This window comes from Homo sapiens, chromosome 2, assembly GCF_000001405.40.
Source record: "Homo sapiens chromosome 2, GRCh38.p14 Primary Assembly".
NCBI lineage: Eukaryota > Metazoa > Chordata > Mammalia > Primates > Hominidae > Homo > Homo sapiens.
Window position 1 is genome coordinate 230202203 of NC_000002.12, and position 24333 is coordinate 230226535.

Consider the following 24333-nt stretch of genomic DNA (forward strand, 5'->3'; position numbering starts at 1 on the left):
ACATGAATTAATATTTTAAAATTATTAGTTTTAATTTCTAATCAGGTACATGTAGATAGACATAAACAACATAAACAGAAGCTCCTTAGGGTCCTCAATAATTTTTGAGAGCATAAAGGAGTCCTGAGACCAAAAAATTTGAGAGCTGCTGCCCCAGGCCACAGCTGTCCCTGTGAACACGTCTGTTTCTTCCACAAAACTTTTCAGATGCAACAGATGCTTGCTCTCTTTGTTCCTCTTGTTATACCCCATCCTCATTCTCTGTACTTTTTCCTTTTACTATTGACTTTACATATCTACTTAACTCTGTACCTGCTTCAGGAGAGACCCTCCCACACTGAGCCATTCAAATGGCAGATTCCATCATCAGCCTTACCCTCTGATCTCGACTTTCGGGCACATTCAGTTCTCGCCTTTTGGGCCCTTGTCTCTACCGTGGAGTTACAAGTTGAGTCATCTTTCTTTTGAGGAACCTGATCCACCCTTTTGAGCTTCTTTTGGATTCCGTGTCTAGATGAGGCTGTCCCTGGACCAAATAATGACTTGTTAATAGTTTAAATTGGGGTCTTCAGTGAGCCTCCTACAGTCCCAATCAGTGACTTCCCTTCTCATGCCCCTAACTCCCACTCTTTCAGATCTCTGTACCCCTGTACCTCACTTTTCTCCTCCTACTTCTCTATAATTATATCCTTCTTCTTATGTGTACCTTTCTTTGCCTCCCCAAATTACCATCTGCTTTCACTCCTGGTATGACCTGTTGCAATCAACTAGATAAAGCTGGGGAAATCCTAGAGCTTATTTCCTGATTTTCGTTTGTGTCGGCCTGCACCACGAGGTGGCCACACAGTCTCGTCTAGGTGGAGAGGAGGTGTCTTATAAAGCACCTCTCCAGGTTCCCCCACGGCCTGTGTGTGGTACAAGAGATTTCCAAAAGTTTCTAGGTGCCTTCAGTGGGCAAAGTGCAAGGTATTAAAAAAACTGAGAGGGAAGGACCCTGCCAAGAAGGCGGCTACCATGAGGGAGAGATGGAAGGTGAGGCTGAGACCCAGAGGAGGTGCAATGCCAGAGGGTGCAGAGGTGAGTTTGCTTCATTGTGGAAAAAGAACACAATTTTCACCGGCTGTTGACTTTAGAAGCTGATCCCACAGGATGACCGCTGTCCTGTTGAACAAGAACGTTTCTCTGCAGGTTAGAAAGGACACAGAGTGTGCAGCCATGCTTCCCGCACGCAAGTGCGGTGATATCCGCAGGCCACTTCCGGAGGAAAAGGCATGGGTGAACCCTTAAGAGGGGGCGGAAGCGAAAGCCCGGTGGGACCCAGGGCTGGCGGGAAGTTCAAACACGGAAGTTACTGAATATTTATCCAGAAGAGGTGGGGCAGCCTGATAGAGCCTAAAACTTGCCTTTCATTGCCAAGTTTAGGGTTTTTTTTCTGCATAACTAAAGGAGGGTTTCGGAGATGAGAACACTTACAGAAAATATGAGAGTGTGGTATGTATATTTTCAGCACTACTATATATATTTTTCTCTTACAATTTTGAAACATCTTTTTATGTGTTTTGTTTTGTAAAAAATAAAGCTGATTAATTAAATGTAAAATAATATGACTCTTAAAAATATCTCTGTTGGGCTGCGGGCAGGGAGGAATGGGGAGTTGTTTAATGGGTACAGGGTTTTAGTTTTACAAGATAAAAGAGTCCTGGAGATGGATGGTGGTGATGGTTGCACAACATTGTGAATGTATTTTAATACCATTGAGCTATGCACCTAAAAATGGTTGAGATGATAAATTTTATGTCATGTGTATTTTACCCAGGTAAAAAATTGGAAAATTGGAAAAAAGAAAATTAAAAGCACATCATCTGTCACATTTAAAATAAAACGATTCTTTTAAAAAACCTGAAAAATTTCATTTAAATACAATATGAAGAAAGGCAAATCTGGAAGGGACTGGAGTCTACTCCTTTCGGTAGCTTGGCAGAGAGATGTCAAAAGGTCAGAGTTACCTCAACAGAACTGACCATCTGACACTGACTCCAGAGGTTTCCCCTCTCTAACAAAGTCACTTCTCTGACCAGGGAGTGTTCATAATTGTATAGTTGCATAGACATTCCCTGTCTCCCTAATCCTATAACGTGTAGAGCATTGTGAGAGTGGGCATCTCACTACTGGGCTGCTGGCCACGGGGTGTGCAGAGTACGTATGTCTGCCCTAAATATGGGATAATAAGAATTTGGAGAATTGTATTGGAAATTTCCCTCCAATAACCTTTAGTTTGTATCTACACCACGTGGTGCCCATAATGTCTATGACCCCTTTTCATAACACAATAATGAATTCATAAACTATCCTTTGTCAGATCATTATTCAAATTTTGGGTTACAGAAAGTATGGTTTCTTTCATTTTTTTTTCATTAAAAAAAAATTAATAGCTAATTTGTGCCAGGACATTACCATCTAGCCTAGAAGAGACACATTATGTAAGTAATTACAATAGAGTATTTGGAACCTTCCAAAAGAGCCAGTGCTGGGTGCTGTAGAAATTATGGGACCAGCTTGGCTAATTTAGGGGTCAGAGTATGTATTCCTGAGATAGACATAAGTCAACACGACTGATGAAAAGGAGATAACTAAACATTTATGGGGAGTAGTGTAGGTTCAGAATATAGCATCCAAAGAGAATAGCACATGCCAAGGATCAAAGGGGAGAGAAATGAAATGGGAAGAAATGAAAGTTCAGAGTGGTTGACTGGAGTTTTGAGTGGAAAGAGATATATTAATAGTTGGAGGGTAAGGCATGAGTTAGACTGGATAGAACTTTAACAATCACATTAAGGACAGTGAACATTACCCTAAGGGCAATAGGAGGCCATGGACAAGATTTAAGCATGGAAATAAACTAATTAGATTTTAATGTAGAAAAGAAGAGGGTGAACCAATAGACCTTGTCAATATGCTAATAGAGTTCAGTTAGTCACGGATGACTAAGGTTTTTGCTTGGCACCTGGGTAGATTAAGTTCCTCATTTCAAGTTAAACTACAACAGGCTCCCAAGGGCCTGTGAAACCCTACATAATCTGATTCTTGTTTACTTTTTCACTTCCTACCACCTTCTTTCTTCATCATCACCAACAACACTGGTCTTTCCTCTCTGCCTCAGGTTCTTTGCACTTTTGAGTCCCTCTGCCTGGACCATCCAATCCAAAGTGACTCCCACCCCAACCTGCAAGTCACTATTGTAATCCTATCCATTATTTTCTTTCATCCTGTCATCAGTACTTGAAATTATCTTGTTTATGTGCTTTCTAGTTTATATTCTTTCCTTCCCCCAGCCAGGATGTAACCTCCATGAGCTTTCCCCTTTGTTTTTTGCTTACTTTCTTACTTTCTCTCTTTAAAAAAAAAATCTGTCTTCAGCTTTCAGAATGGGTATATACAGTTAGTGCTCACTGCATATTTGTTGGAATAAATGTCTGAATGGTACTTAGAAGACTAGGTTTTTGGTAAAGAAGGTGAAGTTAATTTCAGGCATATTGAGACTGTAGTGTCAATGGGAGACTTGCAAACAAAGACGCCCAGTGTGCAGCTGGCTATGTGTTTCTTGAAGACAAACCTGAGTTGAAGACGTAGAGTTGGGAGCCATCAGTATAAAGGTGGTAATTGAAGTTGTGAGAGTGATTGACAAAGCTCAGAAGTGTGAGTTGAATAATCTGACTAGTTTACAATGAACCAAGGAGGCCCATAGAGAATACACATAACATGGTGAGAGGGCATTGACTAATAAGTAGAATGGGGGAGAAAGCAGCTTGTCTCTCCTTCCTGCCCAGGAAGGTCACTTACTTTTCTTAGAATGGAATCATTTCTGTTAAGTGTCTTAAAAGGACACCAGCCCTGTGATTTTGGACACTGGGATCATACTAATGATAAACTAAGTCAGGGAAGAGGAGCTTTAAGCCACTGGCTTAGGCTGCCATCTATTGCTCTGTTTCCTTTTACAGCTAGAGTTGTCTACATATGTTATCACCTCCCATTCATTATCCTTCCCACACAACTGGCTCCTGCCTCCATCACCAAAATTTTTCTTAAATTTTCCAGTGATTCTTTGTGACCAAACTCAAGGCCCTCTTCTCTGAATTTATCTTAGTCTCTCAGTATAGTCAACCATTCCCTCTTGGCTTGCTAACATGTTCTTTCTTGGTGCTCCTCTGTCTTCACTGGTCTCGTTCCCTCAGTCTGTCTTGCTAGATTCCTCTTCCACTGGGATTACTTAGAGCAGGGCTAGGTCTGTGGTTCTCTTTTCTTCTCCCATAGATCAGAATACCTTTATTTTATTGATAACTCATATATATACATATATCTGGTCCAGATATTATATATTATCTGGTCCAGATTTTATATATATATATATATATATATATATATATATATATATATATGGACCACACTTTTTCAGTGAGTGCCAAATTGCCATATTGTGGGGAATATAACTTCCTGATTTCTCAGTGTTCCTGTAAAAAGCCCTAGTCCCGGAGACACAGAAATGTATGCAATATAAATATAGGAAATACTTGCTTTCACTTCCCCAGAAACATTTTCCTCTTCCCACACCATGAGAATTAGAGCTATAGCTATTTTTCTAGTTAATTACTCTGATCTAGAGGGAGAATAGAACCTCTCTTATCTCCTGAGATGGCCAAATGGGTTCACCCAGGACTAGCTTCCTAGGTTAAATCCTAAAGTACCAGGAAAACTGGAGTGGTCTTTCCCTAGGTATTTATATATCACAAGGGGTAAAGCCCAGAACTTGGAGACATCTTTAGGTTGTAAAAGCCAGCAACACCTAGAGTTTCTCTGGCCTTTGGAAAGATGCATTTAAATTCCAAAGGTTAGGATGGAGAGCTTTGGAACGAGGATCTTTTCCATTTTATCTCAAAGCAGCAAAGTTTTTTCTTTTCCTTTCAGGAGGAAAGGATGATGGCTATCCCTCTCATGTATCTAAACAGAAAAATCCATCATTCTACATCCCTTATACATGAGTTGTAGTCTATTTTGAATAGAAAGATTCCATTAGCTCTCTTAGCATTGCCTTTGGGTTTGTGTATGGGAGACAGACGCTGCAATATTGCTCTGGCTGATAAGCTGGTTGTGAATATCAGTAAAGAATTATTTTCCCTGACCAGATACCTTGTGTTCCTGCAGCACTCATATATATAAGGAGATACCAATGCAAGTGGAGTAACATCTTAGACCCTTTACAGTTCTTGACAAAACACACATCTATACACAGCTGCATAGATGGCTAGCAGAAACCTCTAAAGGAACAGGTCAATAATTGAACTCTAAGAGTTATCCCCCAATATATTTGCATCTTCCCTCAGCAATGGGCATTACCACTTACTTGTTCAAGCCAGAAATTGAAGAGTGGGCCTTGATTTTTCTCTTTCTCATCTGTAGCTAATAATATGTCAAATCCTGTCAACAATACCTGCAAAACTGATCTTGAATTGGCACTCTTCTCTGCATCTCCACTGTCAGATCTGAATCCAAGCCACCAAGAACTCTCATGGCATCTGCCCCAAAATGGCTGCCCTGCCTCCATTCTTTCCCAGCTCCAACTCATTCTTTACACCGTAGCAAAATTGAGCTTACATTGTGTCACTTCACTGACTAAATCTCTTCAATGGCTTCCCATTGCATTTAGAATAAAATTCAACCCTCCACAGCTTGACCTACAAGCCCTGCATGAGCTGTTTCCAGCCTCCAGCTTCCTCTTGTACTCTCATCTTACCTCCTGGGAGGCTTTTTTTCTTATGTCTCCTTTTTGGAGTTGACCAGATACATCTTTTTCTTTTCTTTCCTAAAAAGAAAGGATAATGTTTTATAGTTACAAACATTGATCTCCCAATCTTGTATGTCAATGATATTCAGCTTTTACTTTTGGTCTTCAAACCACATTGCTAGAAGTTCATTGGTGACCTTAGGTGATGGTACTTCAGGGAGTAATAGGGGAAGAAGGACTCTAAAATGACAGAGGAAAAGGAGAAACGAAGAAATAGAGACAGGGAGTTTAGGTAGCTCATTTCTAGAAGTTTGGTTGTGAAATGAAGGAGAGAGATATGGAAGTAGTTGAAGTGAGATGAGAATCAAGAAAAAGCATTTTTTAATGAGCTGTGATACATGTAATGCAGATTCTTGTGTGAGACATACTGCTTTAATGAATACTTGAGAGAGAAGGGATCATGGATACTATAAGATGAGGCAGAAGGATTGTCTTAGAAGAGAAGGAGGGAACTCGGAGAGGAGGGAGACAGATGTAGTTAGGGTTTGTAGGACTAGCAGCACAAATAAGGGGATTCTCATCTGATATCTCCTTATGGTGCAGGAGGGAAAGTCACTGATTGAGCAAAAAGCAGGAGGTGAGGGGGTCAGAGGTTTGAAAAATAGGGCTTGAGGTTTGAAAGGATTATTGCAGGAAGTAGCATTGTCACACAGTAAGGAGAGATGATTTGTGCTGGAACCATGAAGACCAGTGAGTGCACTCTGCCCTGCTGTGGAACTCTCTCCAGCACTGCTGGCTTTCAGATGCAGTGTACAGGAAGTAGGTAAGTAGGGTCTTCCAAGACTTGCCAGAGAGTTCTAGGAAAAGGCAGAGAGGAAAGGCAGGTTTAAGATAATGGCAATAGATTACTGAAATGATGAATCTTGGACTGTGAGTTAGTGTCAATGTTAAAAAGCTGGGAAGCAAAGAAAAGCAGATGATGGCTTGGAAGGAGGAAAGGCCAGTGGACTGGTGATCCAAATGAGGTTGAAGGACAACTTCAGAGGAAACAACAAATAAATAAGCACAGAAAAATATATTTTTGATTCTTTTTCTTTTGTTAGGATTGGGCTGGGAAAGAGTGATCAGAGGTTGAATGATAGCTATAAAAGGAGAAAAGCTCAAGGACAGGTATCAAAAAAGGAATTCTGAAATTAACTGTTGGGAAATCGAGCCAGGTTTGAATGACGATAGGGTCTATAGCTTGCCTTTGGGTATGGGAGGCCAAGAATTGGTGGAGGAAAAAGTCATGGAAAATGAGAAGATGAAGGATTTGAGGGGCCAGAGTATTGGATAACAGAGTTGTCTGTTATCCGTGTGTACCCTGAAGGCATCTAGGATGATGCTGGGACTTGAAATGACAGAAAAGCAGCTTTTGAAAGGATTATTGGGGAAATTATTGGATGATATTGATGATGAGTGAGTGAACATTTTAATTGAATGGTTAAGACTCAAAGGAGAGGATCAGGGAGGAAGGGGCTGGATGGGGCCAGTAGGCAGCAAAGGACAGACATCTAACCTGTCTCTCACCATGAGGTGTGAGTGATGGATGGCAGAGAATGCCTAGCCATGTCTTAAGAGGAAGTGGGTTCCTCTCTGGGGAACCAACTTTCAGTTAAAGAGGGAAGTGCAATTAACACTCTAAGAAGTTGTGAATATAGGAGATTGATTTTTTCAGAACAGGCAATTCCAATGGCATATTTCAATACCCCCAAATGCCTTCTGGTTTCCTGATAATTTTCATAAAGGCCTTTTTGGAAGATGCAGCAAATGGAAACTGCAGAAACGAACTGTGTGTGGCATCAGGACTGTGGTCACATAGTGGTGCTCTTGACAAGATACAGTCAGAAAAACAGAAAGCAACTCTGAATTCACCCTTCTGACCTCTACAGAAGAAAGGCTTTTCTTACCTTTCTTGTCTGAAGGTGTGCTGGACACCTCCTGGGGCTCTTCTGGGTCATTTGGTTCTGGAGAATTATCTCTTATCTCTGACAAAAGAAATATAAGTCATTTCAGAGCTCAGATCCAGTGAAGAGAAAGTGCTGAGGGAAGTCAATGCAAGAACTAGAAAAGTAGAAAGTACATGCAGCCCAGGGCCGGGAATCTGCTTGCCCTAAGAATTCCCTGGCTCTGTCTTGATTTTTGCCAACTTGTGGTTATTGTTACCTGTGCGACCATCACAGGGAACTAGGGCACAACTGCCCCACAGCAGAGGCTCAGTCTGATCCTTTTAGAGAGATTATCTTATGGATGGAAGAGAAGTGAGTGAAGAAGGTGCAATGAATGGAAATTGCAGGAATAAACTGTGCTGGGTATCATGACTATAGTCACATGGTTTCTGCTCCCAGCAGCCCCTGCTCAAGGAATGAAGCTGAGAGCGGAAAGTGGTGATATTGAAATCTGATGTCCATGATGAAGGGGAATGTCTTTGCTGTATGAAAAATACATCTTATTGCTTTGACGTCTATGTGTGGATATTCTTTAACTGCTCTATCTGTGGTTATTTTACTTGGAGAAATAGTGGAGAAGGCTAAATGCCTTATATATTTCTGTATATAAGGATTGTTTGAAGAAAGCAGGAGCTAGCCTGTGCTTGCTAGCACCTGTTAACAGCAAAGACATATAAAGCTCTGCTAGTTTTTGCTGCACAAAGAAAGACAGAGAACTTGAAGCCATAACAAATAAAGGCTCATCTCACATGAAGCTGTCACCTTTTTCTTTACACACTGCATTGAGATTGGTCTCAAATGCTGGCCTGCTTAGGAATAGGTGACTGAGGCAGGTGGCAAGCAGTCATTAGATCTTTGGAATAATTTATTACCTTTCAAGTTATATTCATAATATCAACTCTTAAACTCCAAGTGATATAGAAATGACCAGGGTTGAAAGTGAAAATTCCCCACAGTCAGGTGGGGGCTTGGAAGGAGGACCATCCATGTCTGCTGCAGCAATTCACTATTAGGGCCACACAGTGTTTTTGTTCATTTGCTTTGCATTTTGACAGAGCCGTTTTGAGCACTACTTTATTGAAGTGGCCTCAGAAGAGTGGCTCTGTCAAACAGTCCAGCCTGACTCAGTTCCCTTGCTTTCCCCTGGGGTTCCTGCCACAACCCTTTGTGGCAGGTGAATGTTTCCCTTTCAGGCGCTTTGTGGCATTTGGAGTCCAAACCTACAGGCACTGGTGGGGCTCTGTCCATCATCATCCGTGGCCCTATCCAAGTCTACCTTTTCCAGACTTGCCTCCTTTGCCCTCCCCCAGGGACTCTGTATCCATTCAGAGGTCGGGTCTCCTGCCTGTTCAAGCTCCCAAGTGCTGGGTGAACTGGAAGCTGGGCCAAGATTGCTGAGAGGCAGGAGGAGAGCCCCCTCTCTAGAAGATCCGAATGGCTTTTCCTCTTAGTAAACACAGAAACAAAGGCAAGCTTTTAGGTTGACCAAACCAAGATTACCTGGCATAGAGCCCAAGGGAGAGTGGGGCATCTCTTGAGGGTCTTCTTTATCTCTTATTTGGGGGATCAGGTTGTCACTGGCCACTGAATGGAGGAAGAAAAAGTTTTAGATCTCAGGAACAGCAAGCAGGGACCAGAATGAGGAGAAAAGAGAATGCTCTATTCCAACAAGTAAAAATGACGGGGTAACAGCAACCAAGGCCTGGGAAAGGATGGCATAGAGTGGGAAAGTAAGCAACCATTCACTCTCAATTAGCCACTTGTTCTTCCATTGCTGTTAGCTTCCTGATTATGTTAACCTTTTTGGATGGTAGGTATTAGAGGAGTGGATGCAATATTATTTGGATCGAAGAGGACCCCTCTTCTCAGTACTGGAGAGCTCAGAATCCATGGTATCATTTTTGACAATGCCCAATATCATACCATTCTTACGTTTAATGTAATCAAACTCCATTATGATGATGGTTTGGGGAGGACAAGTGATACAATTTGAGAAGCTAAATATTAGGTCTAGCAGACCTTTAAACATTTTATCATCTTTTCTAGTAATTTTGATAACATTGTTCTTAGAATCCAAACCATATAAAAATGAAGAATGTTGAAACTCTAAGGCCCCCATAATCAGGTGGGGGTGAGGAATCAGCTAAGGGTCACTAGTGTGAGTGTTACGCAGGTTACTTGTCAATTCAGAATGGTGTTTTGGTTGTTGGTTTGTTTTGCATTGCTGCGTTGGTGAATTGGCCCCTTCTGTTTCTTTTCCTTTGTATTGCTCAGTTCTTTTTCCCAGGGTTCCCACCATAGCCTCTTGGTTGGCAGACGCATGTTCTCCCTTCACAGTCACCTTGAGCTAAGCGGTATCAGCCCCAGTCAGTGTTACCTTGCACAGTGCTAGTGAGGAGGCTGGGCATCTCTTCTGAGTCTTCTTCCGCATTCATTTTGGATGTTAACTTGTCATTGGTCACTGAAGGAGGAAAGGAAATTATTACAGATTGCAGGGACTGGATGTCAGGGAGAAGAGTGAATGTTAAAAGTGCCTGGGGCAGATAGAGCATCAAGGCACAAGGGCAGAGGGTTGGAATGTCCCGGGAGTGGGAAGCAGGTGTTCTGGACTCTAGGTCTTACCCACCCCCCGGCAGTGCTCATAATCCCTCTTGAAAAGGGTTGTGTTTGGGTAGATGGGTGCAAGAGAAGAACTAGGACAATAAAAGTCAAGATGCTGGGATTGGCGGCAACATGGCACAGGCACCTTAGGCTGAGGATATACAGGTGTTGGATGGGATCTGTTTCTCACCTGAAGTGCTTCTTCCTTCCTGGATGAGTGCAGGGAGAGGCAGGACAGGGTCAGATGGGCTGGGCGACTCACTCAGGATCTCATCGCTTTGCTGGGAGGATGTTCCAGGCTCACTGACTCTTGGCGCACAGGGTGAACAGCTTGGTTGAGGGGGTTGTGGTGGGGGCAGCGCCAGTGGGGTATGGAGGGAGCTTCCTTCTGCTAGGCCAGTTGGGGCTTCAAGTAGGATTGGTGTGTCTCTGCTCTGCCATTCATAGGAAGCACCAACTGGGATTGGTGAAGGGACACACATCAGTACCCTGGAGACTCAGAATTACTTGGGGAAGGGGATTTCTTAATACATGCCTTCCAATAGGATGGGGGCATGGAGCTATTCATTGTCCCCCAGGTGCAGAGAACTGATTCATTGTCATCATTATCCATTTGTGGCCCCTTAATATTTTATTTATCTGGTTTGGGCATTGAGTGCTACAATAAGTGCATCTAAGCCCTGATCTAATACCAAAATGGTTTCACACATAAAAGTTGAGTTTGGGTTTGTACCCAGGGGTTTAACTTTTCTTTAATCTTGGTGTCATATAATTTAGTCAATAATGAACATGCTATAGTTTTAAAAGAGGTCTCTGTTTTAATAAATAAACAGATCATACTTCCCCGAAGCAAATAAGAGAAAATAAAAATTCCTTAGCAGGGTGTATTAGGACATTTATATTCTGGTTTCTGCTCATTTCTGCAGAGTCAGCTTCTGTGCCTTCTATTGTACCCTGTGATCTGGTCACACCCAGCTTTCTCTCCCATCCACAATACCCCAGACCCTTGGCTTTCTGCATGCTATTCCCTTGCATGGCTAGTGCTGGGTTTCTCTTAAGATTCTTCTCCATCATTTATTTCAGAAGTAAATGGTCTCAACCAGTGAATGGAAAAAGGAAAGTAACTTCAAATTTTGGAAAGGGATTCAGAACAAAATCATCAGGTTGAAGATCCCGGAAGATGACTGAAGCTCAGCCAGGTCAGGGGCACATCAGTGTGTGGGTCCCCATGGTTCTCAGATGTTCTTACCATAGCCTTTAAGGCCATGCCTCTCCTAGTATTGCCCAGATGCTGCCAGGACAGTGGGCCCTCTGTAGCTGCCCCTACCTGGAGGTGGACTTGCCCCTTTCACTGTCCATGTAGCTCAAGAAATCATCTCTCCCTTCAGGGGGAAGCCTTTTGATGGTGAAGTGTCAGAGAGCAAAGGAGGAACTGTCAACAATGGTGATTCCACTAATGAAAATATCCAATGTGAGCTGGTGGTCCTTTGCTTGTTGTTCTGAGGTAAGTGAACATGTGATTTGGCCACAGTGTTTTACTTCCAACCTAAAATGACTTTACTGCCTCTCTCTTTCCCTGGCTGATTTCTTCCCAACTCTGCCACTGTTCTTTTTCCTACTCCTTTATTTATCCAGTCTCTTTTCTTTCTCTACGTACTTCATGATCCATTCTTTCTCAGACCCTCTCTTTCTGTGGCTATGTTTGCGATTCACTCCCTTTCTCTGTAGCTACCTTTTTTCCCTTCTCTGGCTTTACAATCTGCCTTCCAGCTGTCCTTGTCCGGACTAGTGGTTAAAATCTTGGGCCCTGGTATTGGGAGACCCAAGTAGGACTCTTGCTCTGCTTCTTAACCAACAAGTAATTTTGGGAAGATTACCTCTGGGCTTTAATTTCTCTGTCAGTCAAATGGGGTTAAAAATGACTTCAAAGGGTTGTTTTAAAGATGATGTGAGATAATCAAATAAAGTGTTTGCGATAAGGCACCAAAAAAAGATACTTATTATTATCCGTCCACATTCATTTTTTCTTCCTCCCTGGCTCTCCTTGTCCTTCCACCAGACCTGATCTTTGTAACTTTGCATTTCTGTCACCTTATGCATTCCCTATAGATTTTCCAGTATGCCAAATTGTATGATTTTTTTCCAAATTCATAGAACACATAAGAAATGTTTATGTCCTCTAGAAGTTCATCTTAGAGAGTTGGGATCAGCTTTAGCAAGGGGCTGCTCCTGCAGCTGTACCAATGAGAGAATATGGTCCATTCCACCCCAGAGAGAAGGCGGGGGATTAACGTGCATATTCCACAGGGCTAGAAGTAAACCCAGACTTTTACCATAGCAACTTTTTAAATGCAAAAAGCACTTGAGAAATCTCATTACCACGTTTGAAGCTTCTGTAAATCGTCACCAGATTGGGATATTCACGCAGGTTAATTTGACTGAACAATGTCACCAGAAGAGACAGGTTAAAAGTCCTCTCCAGTTGGGTGAGAATGTTGTGCACCACTCTGGATACAGGGATCAAATTTCTACAGGCTTCCAGAGATTCCTATAAAAATGGAGTGAAGGTTTTTATAAATGACTATAAAATTGAATGGGAAGTTATACATTTATGGTTTTCTAAGTTTTAAGAAAGCTACCTTACTCTTTTAAGAAGAAATTCAACATAAAATATATAGTCACATTCTCTAAGGTAGAGCGGTCACAGTTTTACATGCTTATTTTTGAAACTTTACACATATTTGGATGACTAGCAACAAAAATAAATAATTTAGCTTTCTTAAAGTAAGTCTATATTCTGAATCCAACTTTCAGGCACATTTGAGACGAGAGAAATTTGAAGGAAGGAAAGTGGGGTTAAAGGATGCTACTATGTAATTGATTCTTTAAAGCTGTGGGCAGGATACTTCAGCAATGGTTCTAGTGATGGTCACAGAGGCAATTCTGCTGGTTGCTTGTGAGCCTCTGCTCAGTCTCTCTCTGTGTCTCTCAAACTTGAGATAAGCCTGAATGGATTCCAGCCACAGAGAAGTCACCCTGAGAATTTTCCTTGCCTAGAGGATGGACAAAAGGAGAAATACGGCAAGAGAGAACTGATTGCAAATAATTATTGAACATCTACTAGGCTCGGTCAGCGAGTCTTTGGGTACACAGCACTGAATAAGACCAACATGGAGTTGCCTATATTTGGGGGTCAGGGTAGGCACTGTCAAGTGGAGAAGATGAGCATTAATAAACACAAATAAATACCCATTTACAATTGAGAGTAGTGTTACGGAGGGAAAGCATAGATTGCTATGGAACTGAATAACTAAGGGGTCTTCATGAGATGAGTTGGCCAAGGAGATGTCTCTGAGGAGTGCTCTCTGGGCTGTGATCTGAAGAGGGAGTTGGGGCCAACCAGACTAAGACTAAGGGAAGATTATTGGCACTTCCTTGAGTCTAGGGCTCAATTAATGCTTTTAAAAACCAAAATTATATAAAAATAGGTCCACTTTTGTCCACATAGCATATCTCCCAGTGCCTGCCTGTCTCACATCAGAATGCACTGTGAGCAATATTAGCTGTTATAAATTGGGATGATGCCTGTAGTGAGTTGAATGTTGGATGGATATATCTCAGCCAAGATATATCCATCTAGAATCTGTGAATGTGAACTTATTTGGAAAAAGTGTCTTTGCAGTTGTAATTAAGTTAAGGATCTTGAGATAAAATCATCTTTGATTAGGGTGACCCTAAATCCAAGTGTCCTCAGAAGATTAGGTAGAAGACTCAAAAGAGAGGTGATGTAGAGATGAAAACATATCAGAGTGATGCATCTACAAGGCAAGGAACACTAAGGATTTCCAACAGCTACCAGAAGCTAGGAGATAGGCAGCTATCGGATTCTCCTCAGGGCCTCTAGAAGGAACCAACCCTGTCAACACCTTGATTTTGGACTTCTGGCCTCCACACCTGAGAGAATATATTTCTGTTGTTTTAAGCTACCTGGTTTGTAGTCATTGTTACAGCAGTCCTTATGACACCCTAGAAACCAACATAGCCCCTATGACACCCTCTCTCCTAACTACCCCCACCTTCTGTGATAATGAACATGCCTGGGCTGGGCCTTCCAAACTCTGGAAGCCCTGGTGGTTTGTGGTTTGAGACTTTAATAATCAGGCATATTGGTGGGGGCTGGGCTGCCATGGAAGGGTTCAACATGACTCACCATGTACATTCTCTTAGTGATGATGGAGTTGTCTAGGAGGCCTTCAAAGAAGGGAAATGGCTTGTGTATGGCATAGGCGATCCCCAGCTTCTGGTGCATGAAGTGCTGAAAAAGAGCCTCTTCCATGGCTCTTGTCATGGTGAACATCCTATGGAAAGAGGCATGATAAAAAATAGAAGCAAAGGCTGGGCGCGGTGGCTCATGCCTGTAATCCCGGCACTTTGGGAGGCCGAGGTGGGTGGATCACCTGAGGTCAAGAGATTGAGACCATCCTGGCCAACATGGTGAAACTCTGTCTCTACTAAAAATACAAAAATTAGCTGGGTGTGGTGGCGCACGCCTGTAGTCCCAGCTACTTGGGAGGCTGAGGCGGGAAAATTGCTTGAACCGGGGAGGTGGAGGTTGCAGTAAGCCAAGATTGTGCCACTGCACTCCAGCCTGGGTGACAGAGTGAGACTCCATCTCAAAAAAAAAAAAAAAAAAAATAGAAGCAAAACCTTGAGGAATGTGGGAAGCTTCTCTCTGCATTAAATGGGCAGATCTAAAGGTAAGCATTCTGGTCCCAAAGGCATCCTTAGTAGCCTGCAAAGCAATGTCTGCCTAAAAGGCTCATGGGTATAGGAAACAAGGACAATTCCCAGCAACAATGGAGGCTGAGAGTGACTGAAAATATAATGACAGAATCCCAAGGCGCTGCAGGTAAACATAAGGAAGGTATTAAAAGTAGCTAATATTTATGGAGTGTTTCCTGTGTGCCAGACTTTGTTCTAAGGGTTTCATATGCAGTAACTTATCTGATTTTCATAAAACCCTTGCGAGGTGGTTCCTATGACTGCACCTGTTTATACTGTTGAGGAACTGAGACACAGAAATGTTTAATAACTTGCCCCAGGGTTGCACAACTAGAGAGTGGAAGAGCTGGGAGCAAATCCTGATTCCAGGCTTACAGTGCTAACTATGTGTTCTATGGCCACACTGATCTGGGTTAAACAAGATGACCTGGGCTACGGCTGAAGCCATTAACTAGCAATGCTCATGCAACAGGGACCACCCTAAAATGGGTAGAGTTCAGCTGGAAACCTGGTAATATTTGGAAACTTTAACGAACCACTCCCAATCTTCAACACAAATGGGCCAAGCATAAATAAAAGCATGAGGGCTGAGAAAGGCATACTTAGTAAAAGTGACTTAACTGACTTGTTCACTGCAACCATTTCATGTCTCAGACATGCGCCTTTTCCCATGCCCATGCAGCATGTATTAAAGATTGGCCATTTATGGACTGTGAGGAGATATCAATAGGTTATAATGGGAAGAAAGTTTACAAATGACATTCTTGACAAATTGTCAAGAAAAGGAAAAGCACTAACAAAACATTCAATCAACTTGACAGTTTTTAACAAACAGAACAAACATGGATTCCACTTTTCCAACTTCATTTTGTGTTGAACAGAAAAGTAAATCGTAATTAACAACTGTTTACAGGGATTTAATCCCAGTGGCAGATTAAGCACCCTAGTCTCTTTCTCCTCATTCCCCAATTTTTTTAACTTGGCAGAAAAAAATACTCATGAAAAGAATAATCCGCAATCGCATAGGAAAACAAGAAAAGATGCCATTGAGAGTCTGTGGTGGTAAAGAAGTCTTGGAAGATAGAGAACAGATAGGAGAGAAATCTACTATCCACAATATGCACAGGGGAAGGAGATAGTGCAAAGATCAGTGCAAAGTCAGAGAAAGGCAGAGTAAACATATACTAAGAAGAGGAAGGGGTCTTGGAGGCTCCTTTTAGAACAATTCATTATACAGCAGCGCTCAGAACAGGAAGTCTAGAGCTTCCTCATTCTTCATCTGTCATGAGTCCCAAAGATGAAAGGGAGGCACAGAGAGGTTTAGTAACTCACCCAAGGTATTCAGTGGCAAAGCAGAGCTTGTCTGACTCTAAAGCCCTGTTTCTTTCTATGCAAGATACTACATCTCATATATGACTGTTCAGATTTTTATTATGTAAAGAGATTTTGCAAACGAATAAGCAAAAGACAAACATCCAACTAGAAAATAAAAAAGCAAAATACATGAACAGAGAGTGATAAAAGAATAAGCCAAATGTGCAATGAATAATACGATAAGCATGTTAACTAGCTAGTAGAAAGCATAAAGAAGGCCAGGCATGGTGGCTCATGCCTGTAATCCCAGCACTTTGGGAGGTTGAGGTGGGCGGATCAGCTGAGGTCAGGAGTTCGAGACCAGCCTGGCCAACATGGTGAAACCCTGTCTCTACTAAAAATACAAAAATTAGCTGGGCGTGGTGGTGCACATCTGTAGTCCCAGTTACTCAGGAGGCTGAGGCAGGAGAATCGCTTGAACCTGGGAGGTGGAGGTTGCAGTGATCTGAGATGGTGCCATTGCACTCCAGCCTGGGTGACAGAGCGAGACTCCGTCTCAGAAAACAACAACAACAAACAACCAAAAAAAGTGTAAATGAAGACAATTTGATAACATATTTGTCTATCAAATTGGCCAAGATAGAAAATAATAGTAATAATCTCAGACACTGTGAGTGGGAAGGTCAACAGGTCCAAATGTTCTGAAGGCTGATTTAGTAATCAGTGTCAAATGTCCTAAAACATGTGCTCCTTTGAATTTCCACTTCTAATAATTTATTTCAAGGAAATAATCATGTATTTAGAGAAAATATATAAAAAGTTCATGATACACTAGAGACGAAATTAAATGTACTCTCATTTTTTTCTTTTCCACCAGCTTCCCAAGTACCTCTAGTCATTTACACAATGGATAACAGATGAGCCGCCTATTGCGGGCACTGAAGGATCAGAGCTTAGGTGAGGGTAGAGGGCAAATCTCGGCTCCATTCACAATAACAGGCTGGACTCTGGCGAAAAAAAGAGGTGTCAGTGTTCCCTCCATGTGCCCCCTTTTAACAGTCTCCTAATAAGTACCACATGTCTGAGCTCTGAGAGAGCCTCAGAGTTTAAATAGTTGAACTCCACCCTGCAGCTGCTGCCGCGAAGTTAACTCTAAGAGCTGCAGTCACCAAGAGCGAAGAATAAAGCAGCAAAGACAGAAACTCACCTGGACTTTGAGTTTGTCGTTCCTGCCCCTTTCCAGGGGCTGGGACAGGGATCACTCCTCAAGATTGGGAGAGTTACAGGGAGATGCTAGCAGGCAAAACAGGAAGTCTGTGCTTTGACAAACGCAGTAAGGGGCCGGGCTTCCGAGAAAAGAAAAGTGAAAGTTTTCGGAGTTTGCCAAGCCGGAAGCTGAAGGCAGGTCGGTGCCTGCAGCCTCTCTCCACCTCCTCATGGGCACTTGTGAGGCTCCCAGGACGTCTTGGCAGTTGGGGTTTGGGGGAGGGCGTGTTGCCAGTTGGGATCAGCCCAGAGAGGGAGGTATGGGAGGAGGAGGCATAAGGGTACAGCCCCAGCGGCAATAGGAACTGGGAACTCAGCGTCCAAATGCTTCCCTAACCACATCTATTTTCCCATGACTTGTCCTCATTCTGTACATTTTAGGTTGATGAAAATGTTCTCAAACTGGATTGTGGTGATGTTTACATAACTGAATGAATTCACTGGAATTTATCCAGTGTGTTATCAAACTCTAACAACACACAAAAAAACAAAGAGAATGTGCCAGAAATGCCTAGAACTTGTCAGGATAAGATTATTACAGGAAGAAATTGAAATGAAAGGGAACCTGCACATGAACTGGAATTGTGCAGAGGCAGGCAGACCTCCAGGCAGAAAAATGGCTGAGAGCTGGGCAGGTAGTTGGGAGCCAGGAGTCTGAGGCAGAACTGGGACCTGCTGATTCCAGAGAGCAGTAACTCAAGGGCTGGCAGGGACACCCCTTCTCATGCCCCTTTTAAAGATCCCTAATGTACATTGACATGTGGGGCCTATGAAAAATCCTAAACTATTGGCCAGGCACAGTGGCTCATGCCTATAATCCCAGGACTTTAGGAGGCCAAGATGGGAGGATTGCTTGAGCCTAGGAGTTTGAGACCAGTCTGGGCAACATAGTGAGACCCCATCTCTACAAAAAATAAAAAAATAAAAAATTAACTGAGTGTGGTGGCATGCACCTTGTAGTCCTAGTTAGTGAGGAGGCTGAGGCTGGAGACTTGCTTGAGCCCAGGAGTTCAAGGCTGCGGTGAGCTATGATTGCACCACTGCACTATAGAAATCTGTGTAACTTTGGGCCAGGCTCGGTGGCTCACGCCTGTAATCCCAGCACTTTGGGAGGCTGAGATGGGTGGATCACAAGGTCAGGAGTTTGAGACCATCCTGGCCAACATGGTGAAACCCCATCTCTACTAAAAATACAAAAATTAGCCAGATGTGGTGGCGGGAACCTGTAATCCCAGCTACTTGGGAGGCTGAGGCAGGAGAATTGCTTGAACCCAGGAGGTGGAGGTTGCAGTGAGCCGAGATCGCACCACTGCACTCCAGCCTGGGTGACAGAGCAAGACTCCATCTCGAAAAAAAAAAAAAAAAAGAATTCTATGTAACTTTGATTAAATCAATAATTCTCAAATGTATTTGACCCACAAGTTCCCCTACCAGGACATCCACAAACTCCTCAGATAAAAGATGGGAGACATGGATCTAAAGTTTAAGAAGCTTTGAAACCAAGGCTAACTGCATAAGAGCAAGCCCTTCTATGCAGGCACAAACAGCATATCCCACCCTAGTATGTACAGAATAGCAGACCCGGCCTTGCGGGTAATGGCTGTGGGTGAAACAGAGGCATGGAAGCCACAGCCAGGAAAAATTCAATGCTAACAGCTGAGGAGAGGGTGCATTGATGCCTCAGCATGCAGTAACATACAGCGCTGTGATGCAGGGGATGGCGGTGGTAAAGGAATTAAGGTTATTTTATGCAAATGTCACATGTCACTTACCTGAAGCCCCTCCCCATCACCTGGAAAGCCCCTTCATGGGCATCTGAGGATCCTGGCAGCAAGAACTTCTTCCTTTAGATCTATTCAGAGATACACCAGGCAAATGCAAAACAAACAAACAAAAGTAAAGCAGGAGTGGGAAAATAAAGTCAATGTCAAATCAGGCAAAAATTGTTACATGAAAAAAAGACAGCTGCGAATGAGGATGAAAGATGTTTATTCTAAGCCATATATGCTTGGCTGGGCACAGTGGCTCAGGCCTGTAGCTTAGCTAGCACTTTGGGAGGCTGAGGCAGGCAGATCACTTGAGGCCAGGAATTCAAGACCAGCCTTGCCAACATGGCAAAATCCCGTCTCTACTAAAAACACAAAAAAATTAGCTGGGCGTGGTGGCACATGCCTGTAATCCGAGCTACTCGGGAGGCTGAGGCATGAGAATCGCTTGAACTCAGGAGCTGGAGGTTGCAGTGAGCTGAGACTGCGCCACAGCAGTTCAGCCTGAGCAACAGAGTGAGATCCCGCCTCAAAAAAAAAAAAAAAAAAATGCATGCTTGAGAACATGGTAATAATGGGAAAACGTCACCTGTTAATTCACATGCTAGTGATTATGTACTGAGATAAATTATACATAATTCTTTTTAGCTCCATTTTATTGAGGTATAAAATTTATTCATTGTAATGTACATTTTACCAAATGTAGTTACTACACCAGTCAAGATGTAGACCATTTCTAGGCCTGGAGAGTCGCTTGTGCCTATAATCCCAGCATTCTGGGAGGTCAAAGCAGGAGGATCGCTTGAGCCCAGGTGTTTGAGACCAGCCTGGACAACAGAGCAAGACCTCGTCTCTACAAAAATACATTTTTTTAAATTAATTGGGCATGTTGGCATACACCTGTGGTCCCCGCTATCAGGGAGACAGAAGTGGGAGAATTGCTTGAGCCCAGGAGGTCCAGTCTCTGGTGAGCAGTGACAGAGTGAGACCCTGTCTCAAAAAAAAAAAAAAAGATACAGACCATTTCTGTTACCCTAGAAAGTTCCCTGTGACCTTTGCAAACAATCCCCTCCTTAAGGCCAGCACCAGGCAACCACTGATCTGCTTTCTATCACCACAGATTAGTTTCGTGTGTATTAAAGTTTTTTTTTTTTTTTTTTTTATCAATGAAGGCACATGGAATGCATTTTTGGTGTATGGCTTTCTTTTCCTCATCATCATGCTTTTGAGATTCATCTCTGTTGTTGTGGGTCAGTAATTTATTCTTCTTTAGCAGGTATGCTAGCCACCAAGATCCTGCTCATCCTGTCTGATCAGCATGATGTCATCAATCAGTCTGACTTTTTTTTTTTTTTTTGAGACAGAGTCACGGTCTGTCTCCAGGCTAGAGTGCTGTGGCGCAATCTTGGCTCACTGCAACCTCCGCCTCCCAGGTTCAAGTGATTCTCTTTCCTCAGCCTCCTGAGTAGCTGGGACTACAGGCACGCATCACCATACCTGGCTAATTTTTGTATTTTTAGTAGAGATGGGGTTTCACCATGTTGGCCAGGATGGTCTTGATCTCCTGACCTCGTGATCTGCCTGCCTCAGCCTCCCGAAGTGCTGGGGTTATAGGCATGAGCCACCATGCCCAGCCCAGTCTGACATTCTATGGGATGTCCAGGTGATCCAGATATCTTTCAACTATATTATGACAAAGGGCAAGTGAGTCAATATAACCTGCCTGGACTGCCTACTTTCTTAACCTAGTCCTCTGGCTTTCCCATACATTCTGTGAGCTACCCAATATAGTTCTAAGAAATTGACTTTTTGCCTGAGTTAGCCAGAGTCAGTTTGGATTACTTTTACTCCCAAATCCTGACTGATAAAAATGTTGGGCACCAGAGGTTGAATTATAGGCAAGAGATATTCAAGGAAATATGATCAATCTGGGATTGGTTATCTGACATAATTGGACATAAAAACAGTGAACATCCCCATTAGCGTTCAGAGTCAGGAATTTTGGAGTTGTGGGCAAATAGGGGTAAGTTGGCAAATTAAATTACAGCACTGGATTGTGATCAAGACTCTATACAATTCATTTCCCCAATTCCAGGTGTCAGATTCTAGCATGCTTAGCAAAATGAAGAGAAATCTTCCAGGTAGAATGAAAGCATTGATTTACCTTTGGGGATTATGACCTACTTGGCCTAAATCTGGATGGGGGAACAGAGCCAGGAGGCAGGCCGGAGCCTTCTGACTCCACTGGTCACGTGGCAGTAAAGGAAGACATTGGGAACCAGAGATGGTCTGATGGTCCTACATATGCCTGGCCCAGGAATCCCTTACCCAGGAGAGGTTCTGTAGTGAGCATAGGGAAAAACAAGATAGTGGGAAATAGAACTGAAATTTCAGGCTATCCTTACCTGGGCTAATGCATGGTGTTGCAAAGTAGGGCTTTCTAGTAGTAGCAGCAGTACCCCTGAAGTACCAATCTTACCACCAGTCAGCTGAGGAACACCAATGGCCTTGTGCTTATAAGCAAAAGAAGCTGGCACATTTTCAAAAATGTCCAGTTCATTGGTGTCCTGGGTCTGCCTACTGCCTAAGGGCAGAGAGAAGAGAGAGAGGGGATGCTGGAGCAGGCGGTATAGTCTGTACCAGGCCTTGTTGGAGCCCCATGGAGACTGGGAGGAGAGGACAGCTGTGTCTAACAGAAGCCCAGCATACTTTTCCTTCTTGTTTTAAAGAGGGAGGGAGAGGGAGGGAGAGAGAGGGAGAGGGAGGGAGAGGGAGGGAGAGAGAGGGAGAGAGAGGGAGACAGAGGAGAGAGAGGACAGAGAGAGAGAGAGAGAGGAGAGAGAGAGAGATACTGGAAAAGGTGTCCTCATCAGTGTTCTAGAGTTTGTCTCAACCAGATTGGTGTTTGTTCCTTTGGTAGAAAGAAAGCAGAAGTGTGGAAGGGGTAGAAATTTCTTGCACTCTGTATTTTGCAAACTTATGTATGCAAATTTCCTTGCATATGTGTAATGAACCAGAAAAAGTAGGATTCAGGAGCACATGTTTTGGAAAAATACTGCTTTGCCTCTGGCTTTTCAATCCTCACTACTGTTCTGTCACTGGCCCTGGATTCTACCCATACCCTGGCTCTCATCAGCCCCCTGTCTTTGACCCATTTTTCTGCCTGGATTTCTAGTCCTGTGGTTATATTTTTTATATTTGCCCTTTGCTTCCATTTGTTTATCACTCGACTTTATGCTGATATAGTGTGTTTTTGTAAATTGTTTCAAATCCTTTACAGAATGAGGGCTGGGTATAAATGAAAAATTGTGTGCAAACATAAATGTAATACAGCTATCCTCCTGTATCATATTGTCCTTGAAGGTCTAGATAATCTCAGCTCCAAACCCTTTCCCCATCCAGTGAGAAGGCTGTCACTCTCCTCAAGATTTCAGTGAAATGGTTGAAGCTCATTTTTTTCCCAGTCACCCCTGGCTGCTGTTGTAAAGTGCCCACATATTTGAGAAAACTTAGAATTGCACCTCATTTCTCTGCCCAACCTCAGCACTTGCCTTTGGCTGGAGGAGTTGAGAGAGTTGTCTTTTACCTCTGTCTGCTTTCATGGAGTGCTAAGAGCATCTCCCCCACTTTCTAATGCATGCTATTTCAGTTCTCCCTGGCCCCATGTCCAAACACTGGGCCTAAGCCATCCAGCCCAGGCTCACTAAGGTGCATGGCCAGCCCTGGAGCCTGACTGAAGATTTGAAATGTCTGGTCTTCACTTGTCCTTCTCAGCCACCTCAGCAAGGGGTGGGGACAAATACAGAGTTTACTTCCTCCTCATGATGCCACCTTACCTCAAAACAACTTTGATCTGCTTGAGTTGAATGACTTTTCCACCCTCTTTCCTTGGCAGGAACAAGTGACCCTGTCTTCCGTGGCCTCGTGGGGCTGGCTCTGCTCCTCCTCCCTTGACTGAGAGACGTCATGGAGATTGGGTGGAGGGAGGACTGTAGAGTTGGTGCACCCACGTCAGCTAGTTAGGCAATTTCACTTTTCTTTTCCTCTTTGACTGAGCACCGAGGGGCAGTTGGCAGCTTCACCTCAGAGCTGCAGGAAGGAACGGGGCAGTGAAAATCGAATCGGGTGTGATCCTAGGCCAAGCTCATGGCCCAGCAGGGCCAGCAGGGGCAGATGGCAAGTGGAGACAGCAATCTCAACTTCAGGTGGGTCATCGTCTCCTTTCCCGTCTGTCCTTCATCTCTGGTAGGGTTCCCTTTCATACTTGTTATTTAATGTCTACCCAGCTTCACTCTACAGGTATACAATAGAATTCAGTTACAAATAAATAACGAGGCAATCAGATTTTTTAAATTGCAGGGATTGGCTGTTGGAGAAACTCAAGGATGCCGTGACTCACATCATCTTCCTATTCTCTTACATCTGCAAATGGCTGGACTGGAGCTGTTTGAACATCATGCCTGTTCTGAGGCTTTGTGTAGGATTGGATGATTCCCCGTGACCTCTGAACCCTCTCTTCTCCCCCAGGCCTCCTTTATCCCCACTCCAAAAGACAACTCTGTCTAAAAAGGATCTTTTTAGAAGAATTAAAATCCAAACGCCTGTCTGTTGTCACACTTTCCAGGCTGTGTAGTTGGGGACCGGTTCTGCTCTGAGCCCATCTATGTGGCTCTTAGCCCTAGAATCACTTCAGGATCTCTGAATACTTGGTAGGAGGAAGTGAAAGCAGATGAGACCCAACAAAAAAGGCAAGCAGGTAGAGAGTGAGTGCTGCTTCTGCTTTTTTTATTCTTCTGTTCTGGTATTTTTTACATATCTGGTCAGAGAAGCCTGGAAA

General features: G+C 43.3%; 2 protein-coding genes across 55 annotated transcripts in view, besides 8 other annotated features; one reads left to right on the forward strand and one right to left on the reverse strand.

The window, feature by feature from the left end:
• Positions 1–23434, reverse strand: part of SP110 (SP110 nuclear body protein) — a 60451-nt gene extending 37017 nt beyond the window's left edge. For 6 of the 18 annotated variants that reach the window (NM_001378446.1, NM_001378445.1, NM_001378442.1 and 3 more), the window contains exons 1-10: positions 23333–23434; positions 19503–19582; positions 14579–14726; positions 12748–12916; positions 10559–10825; positions 10145–10228; positions 9268–9351; positions 7729–7806; positions 5789–5857; positions 377–526 (exon numbers count right to left, since the gene is read on the reverse strand). In NM_001378446.1, coding sequence (NP_001365375.1) covers positions 377–526; positions 5789–5857; positions 7729–7806; positions 9268–9351; positions 10145–10228; positions 10559–10825; positions 12748–12916; positions 14579–14726; positions 19503–19519 — 1066 coding nt within the window. In that variant the 5' untranslated portion in view covers positions 19520–19582; positions 23333–23434. Of the gene's footprint in view, positions 1–376; positions 527–5788; positions 5858–7728; positions 7807–9267; positions 9352–10144; positions 10229–10558; positions 10826–12747; positions 12917–14578; positions 14727–17671; positions 17783–19502; positions 19583–21901; positions 22081–23332 lie in introns of those variants that run through there. The other 12 variants (XM_047444120.1, NM_004509.5, NM_001378443.1 and 9 more) reach the window with 5 other exon arrangements.
• The window catches only part of SP140 (SP140 nuclear body protein), a 130421-nt gene that overhangs the window by 16052 nt on the left and 90036 nt on the right, over positions 1–24333 (forward strand). For 35 of the 37 annotated variants that reach the window (XM_006712223.4, XM_047443077.1, XM_011510518.3 and 32 more), the window contains exon 1: positions 23534–23701. In XM_006712223.4, coding sequence (XP_006712286.1) covers positions 23643–23701 — 59 coding nt within the window. In that variant the 5' untranslated portion in view covers positions 23534–23642. Of the gene's footprint in view, positions 1–1365; positions 1492–11451; positions 11568–11756; positions 11873–23533; positions 23702–24333 lie in introns of those variants that run through there. The other 2 variants (XM_011510517.4, XM_047443073.1) reach the window with 2 other exon arrangements.
• Positions 897–946: an enhancer, noted in NCBI's record as "active region_17209". NCBI's record gives its function as "activates an Ori minimal core promoter by ATAC-STARR-seq in GM12878 lymphoblastoid cells {active_cell/tissue: GM12878}" and the evidence as "EXISTENCE:reporter gene assay evidence [ECO:0000049][PMID:35858748]".
• Positions 14421–14570: an enhancer, noted in NCBI's record as "active region_17210". NCBI's record gives its function as "activates an Ori minimal core promoter by ATAC-STARR-seq in GM12878 lymphoblastoid cells {active_cell/tissue: GM12878}" and the evidence as "EXISTENCE:reporter gene assay evidence [ECO:0000049][PMID:35858748]".
• Positions 17511–17990: an enhancer, noted in NCBI's record as "active region_17211". NCBI's record gives its function as "activates an Ori minimal core promoter by ATAC-STARR-seq in GM12878 lymphoblastoid cells {active_cell/tissue: GM12878}" and the evidence as "EXISTENCE:reporter gene assay evidence [ECO:0000049][PMID:35858748]".
• Positions 17708–17894: a silencer, noted in NCBI's record as "fragment chr2:231084625-231084811 (GRCh37/hg19 assembly coordinates)". NCBI's record gives its function as "represses an EF-1alpha promoter that drives an FKBP-Casp9 reporter gene in an ReSE screen in K562 erythroleukemia cells {active_cell/tissue: K562}" and the evidence as "EXISTENCE:reporter gene assay evidence [ECO:0000049][PMID:32094911]".
• Positions 23414–23623: an enhancer, noted in NCBI's record as "active region_17212". NCBI's record gives its function as "activates an Ori minimal core promoter by ATAC-STARR-seq in GM12878 lymphoblastoid cells {active_cell/tissue: GM12878}" and the evidence as "EXISTENCE:reporter gene assay evidence [ECO:0000049][PMID:35858748]".
• Positions 23854–23903: an enhancer, noted in NCBI's record as "active region_17213". NCBI's record gives its function as "activates an Ori minimal core promoter by ATAC-STARR-seq in GM12878 lymphoblastoid cells {active_cell/tissue: GM12878}" and the evidence as "EXISTENCE:reporter gene assay evidence [ECO:0000049][PMID:35858748]".
• Positions 23974–24053: an enhancer, noted in NCBI's record as "active region_17214". NCBI's record gives its function as "activates an Ori minimal core promoter by ATAC-STARR-seq in GM12878 lymphoblastoid cells {active_cell/tissue: GM12878}" and the evidence as "EXISTENCE:reporter gene assay evidence [ECO:0000049][PMID:35858748]".
• Positions 24074–24123: an enhancer, noted in NCBI's record as "active region_17215". NCBI's record gives its function as "activates an Ori minimal core promoter by ATAC-STARR-seq in GM12878 lymphoblastoid cells {active_cell/tissue: GM12878}" and the evidence as "EXISTENCE:reporter gene assay evidence [ECO:0000049][PMID:35858748]".